Source organism: Homo sapiens, chromosome 5, assembly GCF_000001405.40.
Source record: "Homo sapiens chromosome 5, GRCh38.p14 Primary Assembly".
In the NCBI taxonomy this organism is placed as follows: domain Eukaryota; kingdom Metazoa; phylum Chordata; class Mammalia; order Primates; family Hominidae; genus Homo; species Homo sapiens.
This window is the reverse complement of record NC_000005.10, coordinates 109,859,426-109,883,181: the sequence shown is the minus strand read 5'-3', so window position 1 is coordinate 109,883,181 and position 23,756 is coordinate 109,859,426. Positions and strand designations below refer to the sequence as shown.

The 23,756-nt window shown below is 38.4% G+C and overlaps 1 protein-coding gene across 3 annotated transcripts in view; it reads right to left on the bottom strand.

Annotated features, from left to right (window-relative positions):
* Nucleotides 1-13,556: 13,556 nt before the first annotated feature.
* The window catches only part of MAN2A1 (mannosidase alpha class 2A member 1), a 179,699-nt gene continuing 169,499 nt past the window's right edge, over nucleotides 13,557-23,756 (bottom strand). For all 3 annotated transcript variants that reach the window (NM_002372.4, XM_017009472.2, XM_024446048.2), the window contains 2 exons: nucleotides 18,036-18,146; nucleotides 13,557-16,336 (listed from right to left, as the gene is read on the bottom strand). In NM_002372.4, the coding sequence (NP_002363.2) occupies nucleotides 16,184-16,336; nucleotides 18,036-18,146 (264 nt within the window). In that variant the 3' untranslated portion in view covers nucleotides 13,557-16,183. The remainder of the gene's footprint in view (nucleotides 16,337-18,035; nucleotides 18,147-23,756) is intronic.

The following is a 23,756-nucleotide window of genomic DNA, read 5'->3' as shown; positions in this document are numbered from 1 at the left end:
TAGACGGTTGGACTGAAAGATTCCCATCACTGTGAGATTCTATGATTCTGATTCTAATTCTATCATATTATTAGGTCTACCATTAGGAGTTGCTAAGTTTTCTCTGTTACTTGGCTAAACATATGTGTACTGCCTCAGAAGGCCTCCAGGAAGTTCTCCATGTGGTTAAGAATGTTGATGTTTATGGTTCAAAAGTTATACACTCAGAGTGAAAATATAACTTTATTTATTCTCTACTTGCTATTTAAAGATACCTCAGTTTTGGATAGTTCAAAGTTTAAGCTCCTTCTAAGTATTCCCTTCCTCTCATACTTTCCAAATTGGCACCTGGACATACAGGTATGCTTATGTATCACACATACAATAAATGAATTGTCCTTAGGGATAGATACTGCCTCTGAGTCCTTGCTGGTCTCTGACATGTTGTAGCTTGTTTGGTCTGGTGCCCAGGAAACAGTGGTGGTGCCCACAGAGGTGTGGTTTGTCCCACCTGGTTCCCTCAAATGCTATGTTGGCATCCCTGCTGAAGTCAGAGCTACATTCATGACCTCTTCCTTCTAACCTTAGTCCTCTTCTGGTCTACTGCTTCTTCCATTTCCCATTCATGTCAAGGATACAGAATATTGGAGGATATGAAGAAATGAGGTGATATCTAAAGCTCAGCCCTCTAGACAGCCCACTCAGCCATTTCTGCCATCCAATCTGGCACCATGTTAGATGCAGTGCCACGCCAACTGTGGGATGCTCTGAAGCACAAGCTGGGATATACCTGCTGTCCTGGACCATGTTTCTACCACATCTTCCAAGAACTACTACCCCAAGGGGACAAGAGAGCTGACATAATCATGTCTGATGGCTTGTCTTTCTTCTCTTTACTCCTCCCAACCATCTCCTCTCAGAAATATAAGGGGCTTTCCCTATTCTTAGATAGAAATGTCCCTTGCAGCATATATTGGTCTTCTCTACATAATGGCTTATAGTAAAATTCAGTGATCCAGATTCCCTAGGCTTAGCATTTGATTTGTAAATGAAATTTTGGCAAATTTAAACAATATTTTTCCCCTCTCAACAAAGCCTGGATTTCAATATTATGTTCTCACTGTGAATTTTTTAAAATGTGGTTTTCCATTGATGGCCAAGAAATGACTCCTCTGTTCCAGCCTCCCATGAAATGAAGTCCAGTGATTTAATAAGTGCAGAGCTGCATAGCAACACGATTTCTGAAAATGAAAAACGTCAACTTAACATTTGCAAAAATATTATTCCTGTAAAAATAATTATCTAGATAGGTCTGCTTTTGGAAAGCCGGAAGCTAAGAAAATAAGCTATACAAGTATAACTGTTGCATCAAGGGCCATAGATGGCAAACTGCTTAAGATCAAGTATCATTGAGTTTACACATATTTGGTTCTCTTGCAGCTGCTACAATCATAGAAACATAAGGAATGCAGGACCTAAGTGATCCTGACAGTGAAATTTGACATAATGAAGAGAGATGATTTTTCCTAGGAAAGAGACAAGATTAACAGTATCAATTATCTCACAACTTGGCCCAGTCTAGCACTCCAGCCTTACTTCCTCCTCCTCACCCGTGTCAACCTACTCTTCCTACAAAGCCAGTGGACCCATGGACCTTCAGATCCACCAACTGCATTCCTATATCTGTGTCTTTGCTCCCACAATCCCCTCCATGGGATGCCCCCGGGCAGTAGGGCTCTAAAGATTAGCGAGCAAATTCATGAGGATTAAGTGAGTATCAATAAGCATGCCTCCTGTTTCTATCTCCATCAAACACAGGAATCATGTGTTGTTACAAGAATGGAAGTACTATATTTAGTTAGGCTCCTTTCACCAAAAAAAAAAGTGGATCATATTGGTATCTTACTTTGAGGGAAAAAGAGATTATATCCAATTACCGTTTTCTATAATTTGTCTATTCTTTTCAGAAAACCTTCTGAGTAGGAGCCACAGGCTGAGTCTGGCTCTGAGGGGGGTGGGGAGAAAATGGAAGAATAAACACTGAGCAGGAAGCAGGGAGACCACGGTTGTTACCATAGTGATGAGCATTGAGTCCGGATGGTGCTGTTGCCAGCTTGTGCTAGTGAGTGGGAGAAAACCACTTTCCTTCTGGACTAGTAGAGCTGAGGACAGAAATATCTGGGATGACCAATTTAACTTGCTACTTGACAGTCTAAATTCTATCTCTGTAGATATAGCCAGTTTTTATTAAGCACCTACTAAGTGATGCTTAATAAATGGCAAATAACAGGCAATGTGCTGGATGTATTAGAAGCTTTAATGTATGTAGACCCAGAAATTTAGGGACCAACATCCTCATTTTAAATATAAAGTAAAATTTCAAGAGACTAAATAATTTATTTGTTATTTAATGACCTAGCTAGTAAAAGGACAGGGCCAAAATTTATAGTCGGATCATTAATTTAATTCAATCTAATTTATTTTCGGTGTAAACCTATTTCCGCCAGGCCACAACTATGCCTGTCAAATGGTATGGCAGGAAAATTATATCCCTTTGAATAATGCAAACTTAGAGAATCCATGGTGGTTACCCCAGACTTTGACATTTTAGTTTTCCCTGTTTCGCAAGTTTCCTAAAAAATGATTGATGTTAAAGCTTTCTTTCCTTCATTTATAAACTGAATGGGTTTTCTGATAAATATCTTTTTCATAGGTTTGTTGGTGAACTATCATTTCTTCATTCTTAATTAAAATGATTAGAAAATGATCCTAAATGACAGGTTTCAATGTATTTGGCATTAATGTGACAGTATCAAAATTTACTGACAGTAACATTGACTTATAGACAGACAAAGTTCATGAAATTATTTCCTACATTCTTTTTTTTCCAAAATGGAAGCACCTTTGAATCTTTAACAACAATCATTTATTACCAGTAAACACAATAAACAATATCAGAAAATTAAAGACCCTTATAATTCCATTTCTAATATCTTCCTTACTCCCCAAGTAAAAACTGTTTGTGTTTACCCTTTTTGAACATTTATGCACAGTACAGTAGTGAAAAGTGTGAATTCACGTTCTGACTTTGTCACTTACTAGCTATGTGACTAGACAAATTAGTCTTTTAACCCTCAATTTCTTCTCTGCAAAATAGTAAATAATATTATCATTATTTAATATTTAAAATTAAATAATATTACTAACACATACGATTGTTATATGTAATAAATCATATAATAAGACAAATTACGTTACATGCTTAGGGCAGTACTTTAGCACTTTATAAATGGTAGCATACATATGTATGTATCTCTCTTTATACATATTGTTTACATAAATGAATTATGCTACACATATTGAGCCATAACTCTCATTTAACAAAATATCTTAAGCCATATTTACATGTCTATATGTAAGACTCTACCAATTGCTGCATAATACTCCACATTGTGAATATAAAATAATTTTAATTAAACATAATTAATTAATATTTAAGTTGTTTATGGTTTTAATCTCAATAGAAGCATTGGCAAACTGTCAACAAATGAAGAGATAAGAAATATTTTAGGCTCTGCAGTCCATTCAGTCTCTGTTGCAGTTACTCAAGTCTATTGTTGTAGCATAAAAACAGCCAGAAACAATACATAAACAAATGAGTATGGCTCTGCTCCAATATTTTCTATTTCCAAAACAGGCAGTGGGCTTGATATGGCAATGGGCTGTAGAGTTTGCCAATCCCCAATATAATGTTCTGATTGATACTGCAGTGCTTACATTTTTTTTTTTTACTTCTCCTGTTACTTGCTTTTAAATCGTACACACACACACATACAAACAATGTCTTAGTCTGTTCAGGCTGTGATAGCAAAAGACCAAAGACTGGGTGGCTTAACCAACAGGAATGTATTTCTCACAGTTTGGGAGGCTGAAAGTCTAAGATCAAGGTGCCTACCGATTTGGTGAGTACTCTCTTCCTAGATTGCAGATGGGACTTCTGGGTATGTCCTCACATGGCAGAGAAAGATAGAATGGAGGGAGAGGGAGAAAAAGAAAAAAAAAAATCTGGTGTCTCTTCCTATAAGAGCAATAATTTCATCATGCAAGCCCCAACTCTCATGACCTCATCTCTCCTTAATTACCTTCCAACGATGCGTGTCCAAATACCATCGCATTGAGGGTTAGGACTTCAATACATTAATTTGCTGTGGGGTGGAACACAAACATTCAGTCCATAACACTTTGAATAGAGAAACCAATTTTTAAATTGTAAGTCTTGATAGGCATTATACGATTTTCTACAATTTACACTCCTACAAAGAATGAGAGAAAGCCCAGGTTCCTACCTCTCATCACCTGCAGTTTCTATTGTAACTCATTTGATTCTTTAGTAATCTGATAGGTAAAACATTACATGTCATTTTGATTTGAATATCTTTGTTCACAAGGGTAAAATCTTTTCCTGTGTTTATTGGTGAACTATTATTTCTTCATTTGGGAATTTTCAGTACATATCTTTTTTCAACTTTTCTAGGTTAATATTTTTCTCATTGATTTCTGTCAGTTGTTTAGAGATGCTAACTCTTGCCTATCAAGACTTATCCACATCACACTTTCCCATTGCATCCAGCTTGACCTTTATAATACTCATTATACTCAAAAGTACTTGGTTAATGCAGGCTAGATAGCAAGGTCCATGAGGTCATGATGACTGCTTGTCTTATTCAGGGCTTAATGCCTAACACTGACCGCGGTGTCTGGTGCATATCTGGTGCTCCAAAACTGTTTGCTGAATATAATTAATAAATAGCATATATTTTGCAAATATTTACCACTGTATATTGTTTTGTTTTTCTGTTGACTTTATTATAGCATCTTTGACCACATCATTTTTAATTTTTATAACCAAATTTGTCTATTTTTCTTTGCAGCTCTTAAGTTCATTTTATGCATAGAAAGGCCTTCTCCACTCCCAAGTCATTAAAACACATTTCCTGTATTTTTTCTATTATGTATATATATATTTGCAATTAAATATCTAATCTATAAATTTTTTTCTATCTGTTTAAGGTACATAAACAATTTAATTTTTTCCATATGAAGACTATACTATTTATTGAGTGAGCTACCTCTTTACCACCAATGTGCAATGCAATCTTTATTATATTCTAGGCAGAATAGATGTATAATATACGTGTGTTTCAGCGTGTGGTAGGGTGTATCTCTATTTTTCCTGTTTAAAACTTTTTTCCCCCTATTCTCATGCAAGGACATTTCCAGGTAAATGTGGTTTCAATTTGTCAACTCTCTGTTGAATCAGTCAGTCATTCCCCACAGAGTGAGTAAGCCAGTTAAGCAGGACACTGGATGAGGAAAAATTATCTTTCAATCTGGCTTTGTTCGTTAGCTTTAAGTTGCACAGCTTAAAAAGATTCATAATCTTACCTGTCTGACCTGCTTCACAGAGTCATTGTGAGATTCGAGAGCGCAAATTGATCTGCGTATTTAAAGTGCCCTACAAATTAAAAGTTTCTGAGAAGTGAAAATTATTCATATTCCCTACTATTGACAAGTATCCAGTTATTTCATCCTGAGAAGATGACTCAAATCAACTGGAACTGGATGAGTAACATTCTGTGGTAAATGGAAGCAAATCAATGAAAACATCTTCCTGTTTTTATTCCAAGCAGGTGGAATAAGTAGTCCCGCCAAATGAATCCAATACTAGAGTGGTTCTTGGCTAGTTCTGTGCCTCTGTCATCCTGGCACACCACCTTGTCTATCAGGAGTCAGCACAGTCCCTCAGCCCTTTATTCTCTGGCAAGATCACAGGGAGGTGGGGAAAGCTCTGATGTGCTTCTCCACAGGGGCCGTGGGATGGGTTGGATGAATGTATTCTGGGTACTAGATTTGTTTCCTGAGGCTGTTGTAACAAATTACCACAAACTGGGTAGTTGAAAAAAAGAGAAACTTATTCTCTCACAGTTCTGGATGCCAGACGTTGCAAATCAAGCTATCAGCCAGGCCACATACCCTCTGGAGAATCTAGGGTAGACTCCTCCCTGGCCTCTTCCAGCTTCTGTAGCTGTCAGCATTCCTTACCTCGCGGCCGCATCACTCCCAGCGCTGCCGCCATGGTCATGTTGCCTCCTCTCTGTGTCTTCTCCTATTCTGCCTCCGATAAGGATGTTTGTCATTGGATTTATGGCCCACCTAGATAATCCAGATGATAGCCTGTCACGGTCTTAACTTAATCACATACGCATAAGGCCCTTTTTCCAAGTAAGGCTGCATTCACAGATTTAATGGATTAGGGCATGGAGATATCTTTTCAGGAGCCACCACTCAAGTCGCTACCTGTGCCCTGTATCCTAAGAGGAAGTAAATGTAAACGGGCTCTGTGCTTGCAGTGCTTTACCAACCTGAGACTCAACAGGACACAGTGGAATTAGCCAAATGGGAGCTCACTCTCAAATGATGGGCTTGAAGTTCTGACATTTTGCTATTCCTAAAATATACACATAACTTCTGTCAGATTCAAACTTGACTGAGGTTGTATTTTAAAAAGATATACATTTAATTACTTCCTCTCTGCTCCCACTCCAAATCTTCATACTCTAAATTGAAGAGTCAAGACAGCATCACCAAACTACACATGCTTCCTGCTTCAAACCACCACGACGCATTGTGGAACAAGGCGAAGGTCCCGTCGCCAGACACCTTAGCAAATCCACCCTATGTGGAAGTCATTGCTCAGGCACTTCTTACCAAGCAGTCATTATATTTTCCTAAGCAGTTCTTTCCCTTAATCTTTCAGGGCAAAGATACACCAGGACTGATTTTTAACCACAGATAGCCAAAAACTAAGATTTCTTGAGATCTAAAAACATTTCTCCTCTTAGTACTTCAATTGAAGAGAATCTCCTCTTCTGCAGGTCCCCACACTGATCTGAAGCCAAAGGCATTTATGAGCTGTGGTTGCTGGTTCCCTGGTCAAAACTCAGCTATTTTCATGTAATCCTTTCAAGATTTTTCAGATTACTCTTAAAATGTGGGCTTTAACCACCCCAGATAAAGTTTCAGGTTCTTTTTTTTCAGGTTTATGTTGTTTCTGGGAAAGGAAACCCCGGCATTTACAAAACCAAAACAAAATCAAAGTAAGTTTTGCATTAAACAGATCATTTTTTTCCCATCCCCAAATATCTATCTACCCAAAGATGCCATAAGCACAACATGGAGAAGTCAGACTTCAAAAGGTTACTGGAAAGAGCTGTAAGCGTTGCCATGGAGAACCAGTTAAAATGCATTTTATTTCATCTGCTAAAATAGTTTTTTGCAACCAGAAAAAGTGTTTAGGAAACCTTCTAATTTGGAAAGTTGGCAGTGTGGCTTTAATCAGTAGACCAGGAAAAAGAGTTCTTAGGAGGTATAGTGACTCCTCAAAGGTCCCACAGCTACTTTTGCAGAATTTGAGACTGAAATCCAGATCACCAGATCCCAATCTGGTGTTCTCTCCATTACTGTTGCATCATTTCCATTCTCTTTTGTAATAAAAATACTCCCTGAAGTGACAGCTTTAGGACTTCCATCTGAAGTGGAAGGATAGTGTTAAGAACCCAACCTCTACAGAGAGACAAGATGGCAGCGACTCTTCTGTAAAGGAACATTAGTAAATATGTTCAGCTTTGCAGGCCACACAGTCTCTATCAAAACTACTCAATCTGCCTTTGCAGCCATAAGGCAGCCACAGATCTACATGCGGATGGCAGTCTTTAATCAAAAACACTTCCAGCCAAACTTCCAATAATTTCCCTTCATGAAACTTCTATGAGAAATGAGATTTCTTGCCTTTGTGCTGTTGGTTTCAAGTCACCCTCCTCTCACACACCCAGTTGGTGATACACTTATCCTTCAGGCTCAGCTCTAATTCTCCTACCTCCTTGCCTTCCCTCCTCATCATTCCAGATGGAAGGAAAGTCTCCTTCCTCTGTACTCCCAGAGGATTTGTCATTTGTGCCACTAATGTGACCCTCTTGCTCTCATCTTCTGGCACCTTAACTGCACTGGGATTTATCTCCCTTACTAATAGGAGGGCAGGATTATTAGAATCCCCCTCTCTCAGAGCCTGGCACAACTGCCCTGCTTAAATGATAAATTCAGTTAATGTTCATTGATGGCACAATGCAAAAGTGAAAACCGATTGCCTTCAGGCTCCTCTTAAAGGTACCCCACAAATTCCGTAAGGATGAATTTGCAGATTTTACTTAAGAAAATATATTTTAACCTCAAAGTAATCTTATTACCTGCACTTAGAAAATTCATTTAGGAAGATGAATACGTGAATGAATGACTCACATGATTTTTCTGGAACACTCACTTCCATATAGCTGGTCCGAAATTATTTCAGTCCTGCATATGGCTGAAAAATCCATCCCAAGAAACACAAAGGCTCTGAGTCTCCAGTTCTAGGAGGGAGTTTCAGACCAAACAAAGACCTACCCTCAACTTCAGATCAAGCTTTGAAAGCCAACCGGTGAGGGTTCCATTTTATTTTACTGGTGTTTCACACATCCAGACCCTATAGGTACATCTTGCTTGCTAGCACTGTCATTTAGCTCTGAGATCAGAAAATGAGTCCTAAGGCTAAACTGTGAATTTAAAAAACTGGGAGCCAAGAACTCAAGTCTACATGTAAAGCCCGTAAAATAGGCCCTTCTACAATGTCAATCTAAACAATAAATTTGAAAAAAAAAAAAAAAGGCCTTTTTAAATAGCAGTGTTACAATTTCCCTCCTTTGTAGATTTAGAAATTCACAGACGGCTTCTCAATGATGTTTGAAAAAGTCTCAAAGTACTTGAAAGAGTTACTTGACATACTTCAAAGAAACTAGATGCCACTGACTCATTGCTCCCACCTCAGCCCCTTTTACTTATTCTTCCCCTCTACCTCCAGTTTTTGGTTGACATTTGGAAGGGTCATCTTGCCACACAGGAGCCAGCCCCAATTCCACATCTGAATTAAAACACTCTCAGAGTATATGCTAAAGGAACTCTAAAATCTTCAGGCATTTCCCTAGTACCCACATGCTTAGTTCACTTTGCATTTTTAAAAACCCGTCTACACACCTTATGTTTGAAAAAAGATACTGCAGTGTAATAAAGTGCAGTTTATTAAAATTTTTGAGCAGAATGTGCGAGGGGTGAGGGGAGGAGAGACAAAGTAAGAGGCCATGTTCCAAGGGACTGACTGCAATCAAGTGCACTTGAGTGGACTTAGTCACTCAAGTCCACATGTACTCATTCAGCAAAGCATCTACATAAGTAAGAGCGTGGTGCTGGGGCAGTGGTGACACCCAAGAGCATTGGTTTAAATGCTTTTAGCTCTTTGTCACGTAACACTAAACTCCAAATACTCAAGTGAGTTATTACTTCATACAACGAGAAAATTGGAATTGGTTCATTCACCAGCTCAGCATCATCAGGGACCAAGGCTCTACTTATCCAGTTGACTTCTGTCCTCAGGCTTTCCCTGCAGGGTTACAAAATGGCTGCAGCAGCTCCAGCATCAACACTTACCCAATGCTGTCTTTGAACACGGTCATGCGAGAGTAAGATGCTCTCCCCTTTTTAAGAGGGAGAAAAGAGGCTTGTCCCAGAAGCTCCCAACTAATTTCCATGATAGGTCATTGGATTGGCCAGAATTGTATCACATATCAATTCCTAAATCAATAATCCAGCCTGGAGAAGGAAATTATCATGATCGATTTAGACCAGCCACGATTCCCCCTCTGAGACCCACGGCTACCTGATACTTGAGAGTAAAATCAGAGTTTTGTTAGGAAGAAGGTGAAGGGGCAGATTTTGGTTGATAATAACTTTCAGTATATTCCACAAGGTCATATCCTTTGAGGGGATTAGGAATACAGCTTGAAAATTTATACATTCTTTACTGGCCATGGGAATTCCCTGAGAGTTTTGAGCAGGGAAATAACATGAACAAACAAATATTTAGATGTAAGGGATTTTGCAGCCTTTTATTCTGAAATTATAATTCTTGTTTCTCTACATTTACAGGTGGTAATCACTATTCATTTATTGAACAAATATTTATGGAACCCCTGCTGTTCCAAGCGTGGGGATACAATGCAAGACGGCTGCAGTTCTTGCCCTCAGAGGAGCTTACATTCTAATGGGGAAGTAAAACCAACAAAATTTCAGGTTTGGCTCTTCCTGTAAGAAAAAGGAGATAACTCAGTGAAGGAGTGGAGGTAGGACTCTGATAATGTGGCTGGTCAAGAGAAGAGGGCCTTAAGAAGATGACAACTGAACTAAGATGAGAAGGATAGGAGGAGGCCTGCCATAGGGAGGTCTGAGAGCAGAGCCTTTGATGCAGAGGGAAGCGCAAGGCCCTTAAGAGGAATGATCTTGGCGAGCTAGAGACCCAGAAAATCCTAGACAACTGTCAGTAAGAGGGAGAGTGGTAGAAGGCAAGACTGGCTTGAGTCAGGAAATAAATTTTTAAGCAACACACAAAATAAAGTTCACATACGCGGAAGGGCAGGGACCAGGCCAGGTAGGGCTTTTAGGCCATGGCAAAAGTTTCTATGTTAATCCAAGTTAATATGTGTCTACGTTTTTCCAGAATAAACAGAAGATTTTTAACAAGGAAGATTTTTGAATGTCACTTTTTAGAAGTGGGCAGGACCGGAAATAGCTTGTAATTGGTTGGTGTTAGGACAAGTGCACAGATTTTATGGGATGCTTTCAGGCAGTAGAGATTGTAAGGGTGGGACTTAAGAGTTATTTAGAAAAGTTTGACAAGACAGAGATCTGACTTCTTGAAAAATGTGCTAGGGCAGCTTTAATGAGCACATGAACTCTTGGGGGAATCTTGTTAAAATGCAGATCCCAATTCAGTAGGTCCGGGGTGGGACTTGTGAGGCTTCATTTCTAACACGTTTCAGGCAATGTCAATGCTTCTGGGATGAGGACCACACTTTGACTAGCAGGATTCTAGCAAAATGTGGCCTTAACTTGTATTTTCAGTTGTACTTTCTACTAATGTATTATATGTAACTATGCACTCTAGACACAGTAGCCACGTGTTGCTATTTACATTTAATTAAGATACTCAGTTCCTTAGTTGCACTAATCAGATTTCAAATATTTAAGAGCTAAAAGAGGCTAGTAGCTACCACACTGGACAGAGCAAGTATAAACAACATTTCCATGATCAAAGAAAACTTTATAGCACAGCACTGCTTCAGACAGAAGATAGTACTTCTAGTTTTTTAGGATTTGCTGTTATCATGTCTTCCCCCCGCCGCCCCGCTTTTTTTTTTTTTTTTTTTTTTTTTTTTTAACAGGGGACACATATTGTCTCTACCTGCTAAAATCAAATTCGTCTTCTAAGAATTAATTATCTCAAGTCCACTTCTTCTATGAGACCTTTCCTGAAACTCAAACTGGGTGTTGCTTTCAGCTTCCTTTAAATCCACAATCTCCACTTGGTTTTCCTCTGCAATGTATTCCTACTGTATTTTGCCTGCCTAGTATCCAAAGTGTCTGAGCATCCAACTCCTGTTTCTCTGGTTGTAGAACTCCATTTTCTTTGGGTTGGGGGTGGGGCACTACTTCTCATCCATTTCTCCATGTGATTCAGTTGAACCTAAGTCTATACTCCTAGCCATAATCATTAGCACATGAGCCAGATGAGAGCCAGTGACATTAATCCCAGGACATTTGCTGAAAAAATTAGACAAAAGTGTAGATAAAAGTGCCCTTTCCACTGAGGTCTCTGAGCTGTCTGGATGCCAGTCTGGACCTGCTGGCAGCCATTTTGCCATTCAATGGGCAGACCTTGCCCAAGAATGAGGACAACTCAGGGGAAAGAAAAACCGAGAGATCCAGACAGAGCTTAGATGGCATCTCATACCTGGCAATAGCTGTATTTGGAGTGTTATCTACCTTGAACATTAGTTACTGGATAGTTACAATTTCCTATTTTTGCTTCATCTAGCGTGTATTGGAGAAATCTCGCCCTTTACAACCTCTTAAGACGTTTGTTTTCTGCTTTGATATGTGGTAGTAACAGAGTACTTGCTAATTCTTTCAACTCCCCTGTGATCCAACTTTTCAACATCATAACGGCCCTTTGTTAGTCTGATTCGAAGGTTTGTAAAAGGCATTGTGAACATATGCCCACCTAAATTTTCTTTACCAATTTTAATACTCAAATTATTTTAACATGTTAATGATCTAATTTTATGGGGCCAAAGACAAGTCTCATTATTTCTCAATGACACCTATTTTTACTAACTTCTACAGATTGTTACACTCCTGTGTGTACATAACTGGGTTATTATTATTTTTTGAAACAGATTTTCACTCTTATTGCCCAGGCTGAAGTGCAGTGGCGCAGTCTCAGCTCACTGCAACCTCCGTGTCCTGGGTTCAAGCAATTCTCCTGCCTCAGCCTCCAAAGCAGCTGGGATTACAGGTGCCCGCCACCATGCCCGGCTAATTTTTGTATGTTTAGTAGAGATGGGGTTTCACCATGTTAGCCAGGCTGGTCTCAAACTCCTGGCCTCAAGTGATCTGTATGCCTCAGCCTCCCAAAGTCCTGGGATTACAAGCGTGAGGCACCACACCCGGCCTTAAGTGGATTATTTCTTTACTGCATAAGTTATCCAAACCAAGTGCAGATTTCCTAGTTAACATGTACTGTTTACCTAGCTAACCCATGTGTACCTCCCTGAATATTTATTCTCTCCACCTGCGCCTGCCTCTCAGCTTTGAGGGGACTCCTCTAAAGTCATTGAAGCTGTGTAATAGTCTGGGCCAGCAGGCTGGAGGGTACCTCCAGATCCGACTCTTTCAACCCACCCTCCCTTCTAGATCAACTCACATGGACCTTCTTAGCTTCATGTCTGAGCTTACTCCCCTCCACAACTTTGTCCTGCTTATATATGGAATCTGACCACAATCTGCCTACCTCCTAATGGGCTCAGAAGGCCCCGTGGGGCACAGGTGCTAGGAAGGTCCCTAGACTTCAAGCTGAAAGGTGCCTCCAAACCCAGATGTAACACTCACCACCACCCATCTACAATCTTCACCCTACAACTACATTTTCTAACTACAACTGGACTAAAGAAAGAGCAATCCAGGCCAGGCATGGTGGCTCACGCCTGTAATCCCAGCACTTTGGGAGGCTGAGGTGGGTGGATCACGAGGTCAGGAGTTCAAGACCAGCCTGGCCAAGATGGTGAAACCCTGTCTCTACTAAAAATACAAAAATTAGCCAGGAGTGGTGGTGGGTGCCTGTAATCCCAGCCACTTGGGAGGCTGAGGCAGAGAATCGCTTGGACCCAGGAGGCGGAGGTTGCAGTGAGCTGAGATTGCACCACTGCACTCCAGCCTGGGTGACAGAGCGAGACTCTGTGTCCAAAAAAAAAAAAAAAAAAACCCAATCCATCATGAAGGAACAAAGAACAGACCCTCACTACTCCCCCTACCCCTTCATTATGTTTTAATACATGTTTACAAAATAGGATTAAGAACTACTCTAGAGGACCATGTACATGATAAGATTATCTTTTATTAGAGATCTTATATTACATATTCCCAAAAAGATATAAAATCTTCCAAGAGAAAATATCAAAACCTGTTGATTCCAAGGTGAACAAAATGATCAAAATGAAAGCAAACATTTTCTTCCAGACAAAGGAATATCAAAACACTTCGGCACAAGTACAACAAAGGCATGGGAAGATCATGATAATGTTTTACATCACATTTTACAGCATTTTATTTTAATCAGTATTTGTAGAAAACAAGGATGCTGAGTTCTTGAACACTGCAGTCACAAACTCAAACTAAAATTTCCAAAAAAAGGAAAGAAAACACTGAACTACTTGGTCAACTGAACATCTGTAATAATAAATGTAACGAAACCTAACCAAATAAATATGCCACTGAGATCACAACTGAAGTGTATGGTTTTTAGTGTGTGCCAGAGACATTAAATTATTTAATCAGTTTTTGACTACAACCCAAAGCAAAGCATCCTCTCTGTTTCCCTGATGATTTATTCTAAAAGTAACCTTAAAAAGCAGAAACTTGCTGGTTAAAGAGAATTTCTGCTTTACCTGTGAACTGCTGGTAGCAACACAAGCTGAATAAAACCCCAGACTGACATGGGACAGATCCATCGCAAACAACCAGAAGTGGCAAAACCACTGTTATTGCATCAAGATTTTTTTTTTATTTCATCTGATCACAATTTCGAGAATGATTAAGCACACCCACTTAACCACAGACAAACTGAACTCCCACAGGAAGGTTATACATTTAAGATGCAATGAAAATACTGATCTCATTCCTGGGATTTGCTTCTGGCAACCCTAACATCTGTAGATGTCCACAAAAAGGAAGTCCTTTTTCTTTTTTTAGTTTTTTCCCAAAATATGTGGAAGAAAACTTACGGTACATGTTTATTGCATGAAATTACCCCTTGTAATATCTTTATCAACACTGGTATTGTTTCCTTAATTATTAAAGGTGAAGGAGTTTATGAATTTAACATAACAATAATCTTAGGAGCTGCATCTTGAGTGAAAATCCAGATGATAATCAAACTAAATGGTGAAAGAGAAATTGGGTTTTTATTTCTCTATAAAGATGTTGGAATGACAAGAGGTAAATGGAGGTTGAAAGCCACAGAATATGAAATCAATTATCTCAAAGAGAATTTTCAAAACTGTACATACTCAAAGACTCCTTTCTATGCTAAAATTGCATAGTCTAAATGTCGCTATTATTTTAATGTTAAGGAAACAATAATCCCAAATAAATTTTATTAAAAGCACTGTAATGGCACACGGGCTCAGAACTTCACTTTAAGGTTAGCACATACAAAAGTTGAGAACTGAATGAACAAACATATTCCTTAGTAAGATAAACCATGATGAGCTACATAAAAGTGGGTTTCAAAACAAGATCAATTTTAAAGCATTCTCTCTTTAATATAGTTAACTACTGTGAAATGGAAACAGTAGCTGGATTTTGCATTTTACAAAATCCTTGCTTCAAGTTGCAGTTTCCTTGGCAGCAGCACATTTTAATTAACAATATTTTCCTTCCTTGTTTTGTTTTCTGACATCTCAGTACATTCAAATAGTCAAAATGTTTAGAGTAACATCACCACAAATTTAATGAAACAGATCAGAATGTGGCCAGCATTGTCAGGCAAAAATTACACAATTTATGTGTCATAGAAAGTACCCACCCTCTCCCAGACCCCACAACATTCCCCCTTCCCCAAACAGTAATATGGACACTGATTTAACAAGACTTATAAAAAAATAAGGCACATTTATTTTGATATGGTAATTTTAAAATAGAAACCCCTTCTCAGAACACCTGTATTCAAATGAGCTGTGTAAAAAGACACCTTGTGGTACCTAAAATAGGTTTATGGTACCTATGGAATTGCTTCTATTTTAGTGAAGATGGAATAAATTGCACCCATCCCACATTGTCAAGTAATGAAAATATGCCTCTTTTTCTACTGTTGAATGATTCAAAATCAGGTATTTCTGGAAATACTTAGAAAGGGTAGGAAGGGAAGGAGAAGGTCAAGAGGTACATCAGAAAAAGGTATAAAAATCATCTACGTTAATCATAAGGGTGGATGGATTGCACTTTTCCACTTATTTCAACACATAATTTTTCTAACTAGTATGAATGATTGCAACCATTTTGGCCATTAGCTTTTACCCACAAACATTTTATTCCATTTCAGCCAAATAGGTGTTTTTGTAAAACTGATGATCAACACACAGATACTTTTAAGAATCTCTTCGCAACCCCCAACACAGACATAATTAGTTAGCATTTAACCTGAGATACAATCTGTTGAGAGGCTGTCTTTAAATATTTCTTCATTTGTTGCATCAATTCATACTGATGGTGGTAGTTCATGGGAGAAAGTTTAAAAAAAAAGAATCTTGATTGATAGCATGGCTTTTTTTTTTTTTTTTTTTTTCTTACTGTACTGGTAAAAGAAAAAAGAAAAAACCCACAGAATCACAGAATTCATGTTCTCACAGTAGCCAGAAGCTAAAATAATGTGCTTCTTTATTGCACGTCAAACCAAGAAAGGTATAAAAGCCAATGATTCTCAATCCAAATGTGAAAGTCAGGTTCACCTCAACTGGATTCGGAATGTGCTGATTTCCATTGGACTCAAGTTGATCTCACTTATATTCTGAGTGCCGGGAGGTGAATGCATCAAGGATAGTGATGAAGGTGTGAGACTTTCGACAATAAACTTGTTTAAAAGTTTCTGTACCAATATCTGAAAAGTAAATGATAAAATTTACATATTTAGATCAACTTTGAAGATTAGCAGCACAACTACATATTCTGTGAAAATTAGTATGAGAAGGAATAAAACAGTATGTTGAAGTTCTCTTTTGAGGAAAAAAGGGTGGATTAAATATACATATATGTTATTAAATATACATATATAAGTTCTCTTTTACAGAAAAAAGGGTGAATTAAATATACATATATACATGCTTGAACATACAGACTACGCTTGGAAGGGAACAGGAAACCAGTAATGGTCATGAGCAACATATTCTGCATTCCTTTTTGTATTGCTTGAGAATTTTATCATGCACAGGGGCTTTTTCAATAAAAGAAAGGACCTCCAATGGCCAAGAAGCTTTAAAAACATCCTCATTCTCTTTTAGTCAATACTTACCCCTAACAATGGTAGTCCTCAACCACTTTTTCCTGTTCCAACAGAGTTAAGAGAGAGCACACAGGCTCACTACAAGGAGGGATCATTATGTCATTGAGTCCCAGTCTATAGAGGTGGACAGGTCATTTGGAAAGTATTTCCCTCACCGCTGCCATGTTATCTGTCTCTCTGGATCGTATAACCCCCTTATGACTCAAGGCCTTAATGTCAGAATGCTCAGAACCAAGTAAACTTAGATCATCAACAATACAATAGAGTGCAAATACAGTATAATAAAAAAGTAATAAAAATATCAGTGCTTTCTTGGCACCAGCTCCAAGCAGGGTAGGGTAAAAGAAATGTAGAAGCTAATCTATCTAAGTAGGTTCAGGGCTCCTACCACATTTTTCTTATCTTTTTGGACCCCACACACATGCTAATTTGTAGGGTTGGAACTGAATCACTTGAGTCTGGTCTACAGCATTATTTATGAGGTTTTGGAGGAAAGCTGGGTCAGCTGAGCTGCCTGGTGAGGCAGACCTGCCTGTGTACCTAAATCAGCCCAGCTGCCTTCTCTGAGTCATGGCCCTTTCAGTGACAGAGGCAGGAGATTGGAGGTTTGTTTCCTTTCAAGGACAGGCTTGATGGAACTGCCAGAAAGACCAACTTGAAGAGAAATAAACAATAGGCAGCCAGCAAGCTGTGTTCAGACTGAGGATCTGTTTGGCCTGCACGGTGTGTTGACTCATATGCAAATCTGCATTAATCAGAAGACCAAGACCTACATTTATTTCCCAAGGGAAAACAACTGATTGGCGCTACGTACAGCTGCCTCCTGGGCTGTGGGTGGATTATCCCACTAGCCTACAGTCTCAATTTTCCCAGTTGCTTCTTTATGGCTACCTCTATAAGCTTCAGTTATTATAAACTTGCCTTGGCCTCTGTAGGACTTAGGTTTACCAATGCTGAACTAGATGATATGTGAGCATGTGTGGTTCAGGGGAGGAGAAAACTGGGGGACTGGGAGCAAGGCACTTTGTAGGCTGGAAATAGAAGGCCTAGGAAATAACAAGAGCATTGCCTTCAAATGTGCATAAATTCCAGCTATGCCTTTTGATGTCAACAAGGAAAGGAGGCTGAAGTTTTGAGAAAGTGCATTTTTCAGATGGGGAGATTCAAACTAATTTGCAGACTGATGAAACTGAGACAGTAAAGAAGCAATGAAACATGATCTTATTGTCAAGATCCTTTGCAGAAAGAGGATTTCAAAGCACACTAACAGTAAGCAAAAATAACCTTTTCAACTTACCTTTCCCTGAGTAGTAGAACAAAACAGCCCTGTGCCTTTGCTAGAGAACCGACAATCAAACCCTTTTCTGTGGAGGATCAAGGCTGCCTCATTGGAGTGCCCATTGCCCACCTGCAAATGAGCAGAATGCAGTCACACCGCGCAGACAATAAAGCAAATATTTATGGTACTTCACACACCACTCTCTCGATGTCAGCATCCAAAAGCACATTTATTTAGCAAGAAAGTTAGGCAAATTCATTTCTCCTCAGGTCCATGCTCACTGCCCATTCACCTGCTACCATTCTCTCCTACTTGTACTGAGCCAGGTAAGATTATGTTCTAAGGTTCCTTGTTAGGTAACCTCATGCCTTGGTTTCCCCTATAATCCCCGAGGACTTAGGTTTCCTTATGTCCATACATTATATATTGTTTTATTAAAGTTTATTCAAATAAAGCATTATGTTTTCGTCTTATTTTTCAAACACACACATCAGTTGAATAAACTGCACCTGAACTTAGTCCTTATCTGGTCATTGAATGACATACCATCTAACTTAAAAGTCACACATGCTTCTTTATTGAACATTAATTTTTGCTAACTGCATTCTTAATCTTTGATGTACTGATTCATTATTTTTATATCAGAGCTATTTAAATTTAGTTATGCTTTCACTTGGTAGGCCAGCTCACATTTACCAGCTTGATGTATCATTTAAATTGATACTGCAGAAGCTATTGTTGATAGGCAGGCAAAAATAAAAATACTAAACATGACAAGTCAGCTAAGAGGGTCAGTATACCTTTTCTTGCAATAAAATTTCTCATATCCATTTAAGTATCAATGTCATGAATGGTTTAGGCCTCTGAATATTTTAAAATACAATTATCTTAATAAATTTTGTTTCCTAAAGTTGGAAGGTGTTTATGATAAATGAATTAAAAATCCCTGGAAAAATTAAGAAACATACAGTTTTTGAAAAGAGTCATGTGCTGCTCAGCACTGACATTGTGATAAAACTGATTCTTTCCTCTGTTCTCTGGCCACAGACAGGAATATGCCCAAACGCCTGATCATCCTCACTAGGGGATAAGATTTTTTAATGTACTAAAGAGACATCTTTCCTGAATAGCTGCCAGAATCTCCACCACTGATTTGATTTTAATGTGCCTGAACAGTTTAAAGCTGTCCTCACCTCAGAGTCTTGGCTGGAATAACCTATGTTATGATGTTTCACACTGATATTTTGTAGGGGTACTGCTAAGATTTTGTTTGAAGGAAGAGAAGAGTCATTTAAGGAATTCTGAGTCATCACAAGACCACATGATACACACAGCAATTTTAAATCATATGATAAAAATTTCTAATTCATTTCAATACATTTAAAACACCCTGCCCATGTACTATAAAAATAACACATAGGAAAACCCTTCATTTATGGTATCATTAGATCTCCAAAAGAATAAGAAACAGGACTCTATCATGTGCCAACTGTGAAACCTTAGGATAGTAATTTCTTCTTCCTAAATATCTATTTTCTTGCCTGTAAAATGGAGGTAATGCTTGTATTATTTCCTTCATGGAGTCACTGTGTGGATTAACCTGTTGAAAATACTATGTAAGTAGCTTCACACTGCCTTGTAGGGCAGAATGCGCTAGTGCACGAGCTGTGTAGTAAGAGTGGTTCAGAGCCTGAGTGGGGAGTCAGACAGCTGGAGATCTGGATCCTTGCTCTGCAATTTACTAGCTGTGGGTTTCAGCAAAACCAGGTTTTCCTTTTCCATAAAATGAAGATGAAATGAAATGAAATAGCTTAACAAAGATCTGGCCAAATGTCTGGCACACAGGAAGCCCTTAGCATAAATTTCCTTTATTTGACATTACAACTTTGTAGCTAAAGACTCAGGGAACTCCTAAATTATATGTCTAGAGTCGTACATCAAAGTCATAACAAAGTCTGGATTCAGATTAACAGATTAGAAACCCTCTTCATTAAGCTCTTTTAAAAGCACATATCACTACTAACCTAAAGCATTTGTCCATTTTAACTCATGGGTCCATCCTTACATATCACTTGATAGCATGCATGGCTAAAATTCCTGCAACACATTTGCTCTTGGAATAATGAATATGTAAGGCCTTTATAGCAACAGAAGGGGACAAAAAATGTGGGGAGGGAAACACCTTTGGAATTCTACATTTGAATTCTACAAGAGATTTAAACCGACAATACAAAAATAGAGATAAAAGTCATAAAAATTAACTTTCACTGATAGAAAAAGTTATACTTTCTCTCAAAACTAAAATTACATCACTTTTGTAAAAACGAACTGAAATAGCAATCATCTTGTCCAAGTTTTTAAAAAATCAAATATTCATGAAAGTATCAGTTTTCAAGCAAAAATACCTGAGGCAAAGCAGCAGTTTTTCAGTTTCAAAGTCTGTCTAGACATTTTATTTCCAAGAAAACTGTTTTTCAAAGTAGGGAAACTGTGAATTTAACTTGAATATGCATGCAGGAAAACAGATACCTTCAAGCAGTCACACTGTATGCTCTAGGAGAGTAAACAGATTTTGGAAGAACTGCTTTTACATTCATTAATGCATTAGTAATATCTGGACCCCATAAAATGGGAGGATGTGGGGAAGAAAATTTACAATTTTTGAAATTGTGCCAAGCACTGTGGTAGGTAACTATCTTTGTAAAACAGATTAGATCACTTTCGAGGCTGAATTACTGAAGTAAGGCTGGCGTATTCTAAAGTTGCACAGAGAAAACCCATTGCAAACTTAATTCAGGGGATAAAACCAACATTCAGCTCATAGACTAAGCTGGGCCTCTGAGGCTCTTCCAGCAACTTGGTGGAGTATGGGGAAAGATGATTTGGTTTGCAGAATGAAGCCATCAGATAAAGCTGGGCTTAGAGAAAGCTGGATCAGACCAATGATTTTTTCTACCATGAACCATTTATGTGACTTTGAGTAAACCTCTATAAATTCAGCAAGCTAAGCTGGACCTGTGAAGAGTCCCTCTGAAGACTGAGGGTCAACCGCAGTGACAATATCAGTCATTGCTAATACCTGTTGAGCACTTGCTGTGTGCCATATCCTGTACAGAATGCTTTTCATCAATTAACTCATTTTATCGCACAACAACCTTTGAAATAGTTGAGGTGATATATAAGTTTGTATTAAAATATGTAAATATACGAGAAAATCTCTATCACAAAGCATTCTCTCTTATACTCAAATAGCAATGACCACCAGTGATCCTGGATTAGCCCTTAGTCTTCTCCCGCCAATGGATGGGATATCCTCTGTAGGTGTCCTATTATTACTGAAGACACAAGAAAAATAGACAGTGTATTCCCTCACATTTTCAGTGCTCCCTCTCCCTTCTTGTTCCCATGCAAGACAGTATAAGGTTCTGAGAAGCCATCTGGACTCAGACACACCTGAGCGTGCTCCCAGGACCACATTACTGGCTGTGTGCCCTTGACAGTTATCTATCATATCTCTAGGTCAGTTACTTTCCTATTCTGTAAGATGGGATGAAAATATTGCCTACCTTCTTAGGGTTGTTGTGAGAGCTTTAAATAAAGTTCATGTAAAGCACTTGGCACAATGCCTGGCAAACAGACAATTTTAGATATGTTATTTTTAAATATCTGAGGAATTATTAACAAAGTATTAAGTTGGTGCAAAAGTAATTGTAGCTTTGCCATTACTTTTAATAGCAAAAACTGCAATTACTTTTGTACCAACCTAAAATATCAGGAATAAGTCAAAGTGACATCAAGATTTACTCTGGCAATGTTTTTACCTCATTATTAGTGACAACTGCCGTTGTTCATGACTGAACTATCACAGGTGAGAACCTTTACTTGTCAAGCACTCATAGGGCTTACTATGTGCCACATGCTGTTCTAAGTGCTTTACTAACACTAAAATTATCTCCAATCCTCAGAACATCTCTAAGGTGAGTATTATTACCATCTCCATGTTACTAAGGAGTAGCCTGACACTCAGAGAGTTAAGTGACTTGCTCTAAGTCTCATGGTTAGAAAGCAAAGGAGACATGCTCATACCCAGGACATCTGACTCCAAAGTTTAAGCTTTTAACAGCTTCCTTCTCCTACCTTTGCACTAGCTATGAATTTGTGCTCATAGATACCTAGCCAGGAGAGAAAAGATAAAAAATATTTTTGATGTAAAATAACAAAATACTGTAAACTAAAGGAGGTAACCCCTCCAATTTATGGCTGAAAAAGGAGAGTATTGACTGATGGTTCCAGCAGAGATAAAACTATAACTTATCAAAAAATATATCAATTCAGAAACCAAGCTTTGGAAATTGTAATTTCCTTCCATCTACCACCTATCCACCTATCCATTCACCCCACTTCAAATAGGATTTGAGCCATTCTGAAAATTATACACACATGACAGTCTCTTTTAAGGAAAAAAGCAGGTGAATAGTCCTCTACTGAAGATCTTAAGATGTGAGTTATGTCATTCCTCTCTCGCACCAAAAGAAACAGTAAACTTTTGGAAACTGTAGTAAACATTATGTGTGCAACCACCGTTTGTGGGGAAGAGAGGGGCCATAACTTTGGCCAAATTCTCCAGGATGCATGGGACCCCACCCTCTTCACACGGTTAGTAAGGTGCACATAGATTAAGGCACGGCTACACATCTGGTGGGAAAATTTCTCCAACCCACTCAGATTCTTTGAAAATACCTAACACTCATCCCTAGTGCATTCTGGCAGCTGGAAAGGTTAGAAAATTACATGCTTCATTATAAGTCCTAAGATGGTATTATAACCAGTAGAAATTCATTTTTTAGGGTGCTCATTAAAATGTCCAATAATAGCTATCCTGTTTTGATCAACAAGATAAAATGACAGAAAGAAAGGGAAGGTAAATGGCTGTTCTGAGATACGTACAACAAAGGAATTTTTTTTTCTCACAATTTTCACCTTTCCAGAAGCTAGGGAGATCAATAAAGCACCAATCAATTCTTATAAGAAAGACAAATAAAGTAAAATCCTCAAACTGCCTTTTATAAGAAAAGAAGAGGCAGAATGAACAAGTGGAGAGAGAAAATCTTATTCAGTAAGTGGTGCTGATATTGAAATGATGGTTAACTATTTGCAAGAAACAGTTAAACACAAATCAAAATAAATTACATAGAGAAAGAGTTAAGATATATATATATATCATGTTTATATAAAATAAATATGTCTAAATATAAAAGCTGTGGAAATAATCTAAAAAAAAAAAAAAAAGCTGAACTACATATCACATTTCTAAAGTATTCCAAGTAGAATGGCTCCATGAAGCTGAGCTTATCCAGCTTCCTCTTTGTCCCTCTATTCCAGGCTGAACCAGCAGCTCCAGCTTCAGAAGCCTGACTCATCATCTGTCCTCCCATGAGATCCTCCCTGCATCTTCTCTACCCAATCTCCCTTCTTCTTAAATAATGGTCCTTTCCTGATGACAAGGCTTTTGCATGTAGTGTATTTCAGTGGTGTTCATGTTCCCTAGGTTTCAAACCTTTACAGAAGCTTCTTTTTAGTATCTCAAGATCTTCATAGTGTAGGGGAAAGGTGTGATCAAGGAAAAGAGTTGAAAGACAGGCCAACAGAATAGGAAAGCTAATGGGTAAGTTTGTAGATAGTGGCTGGAATGGGCAAGGCCACGCAGCATGCTGTGAGGCAGGGCTTCCAGAGATGTTT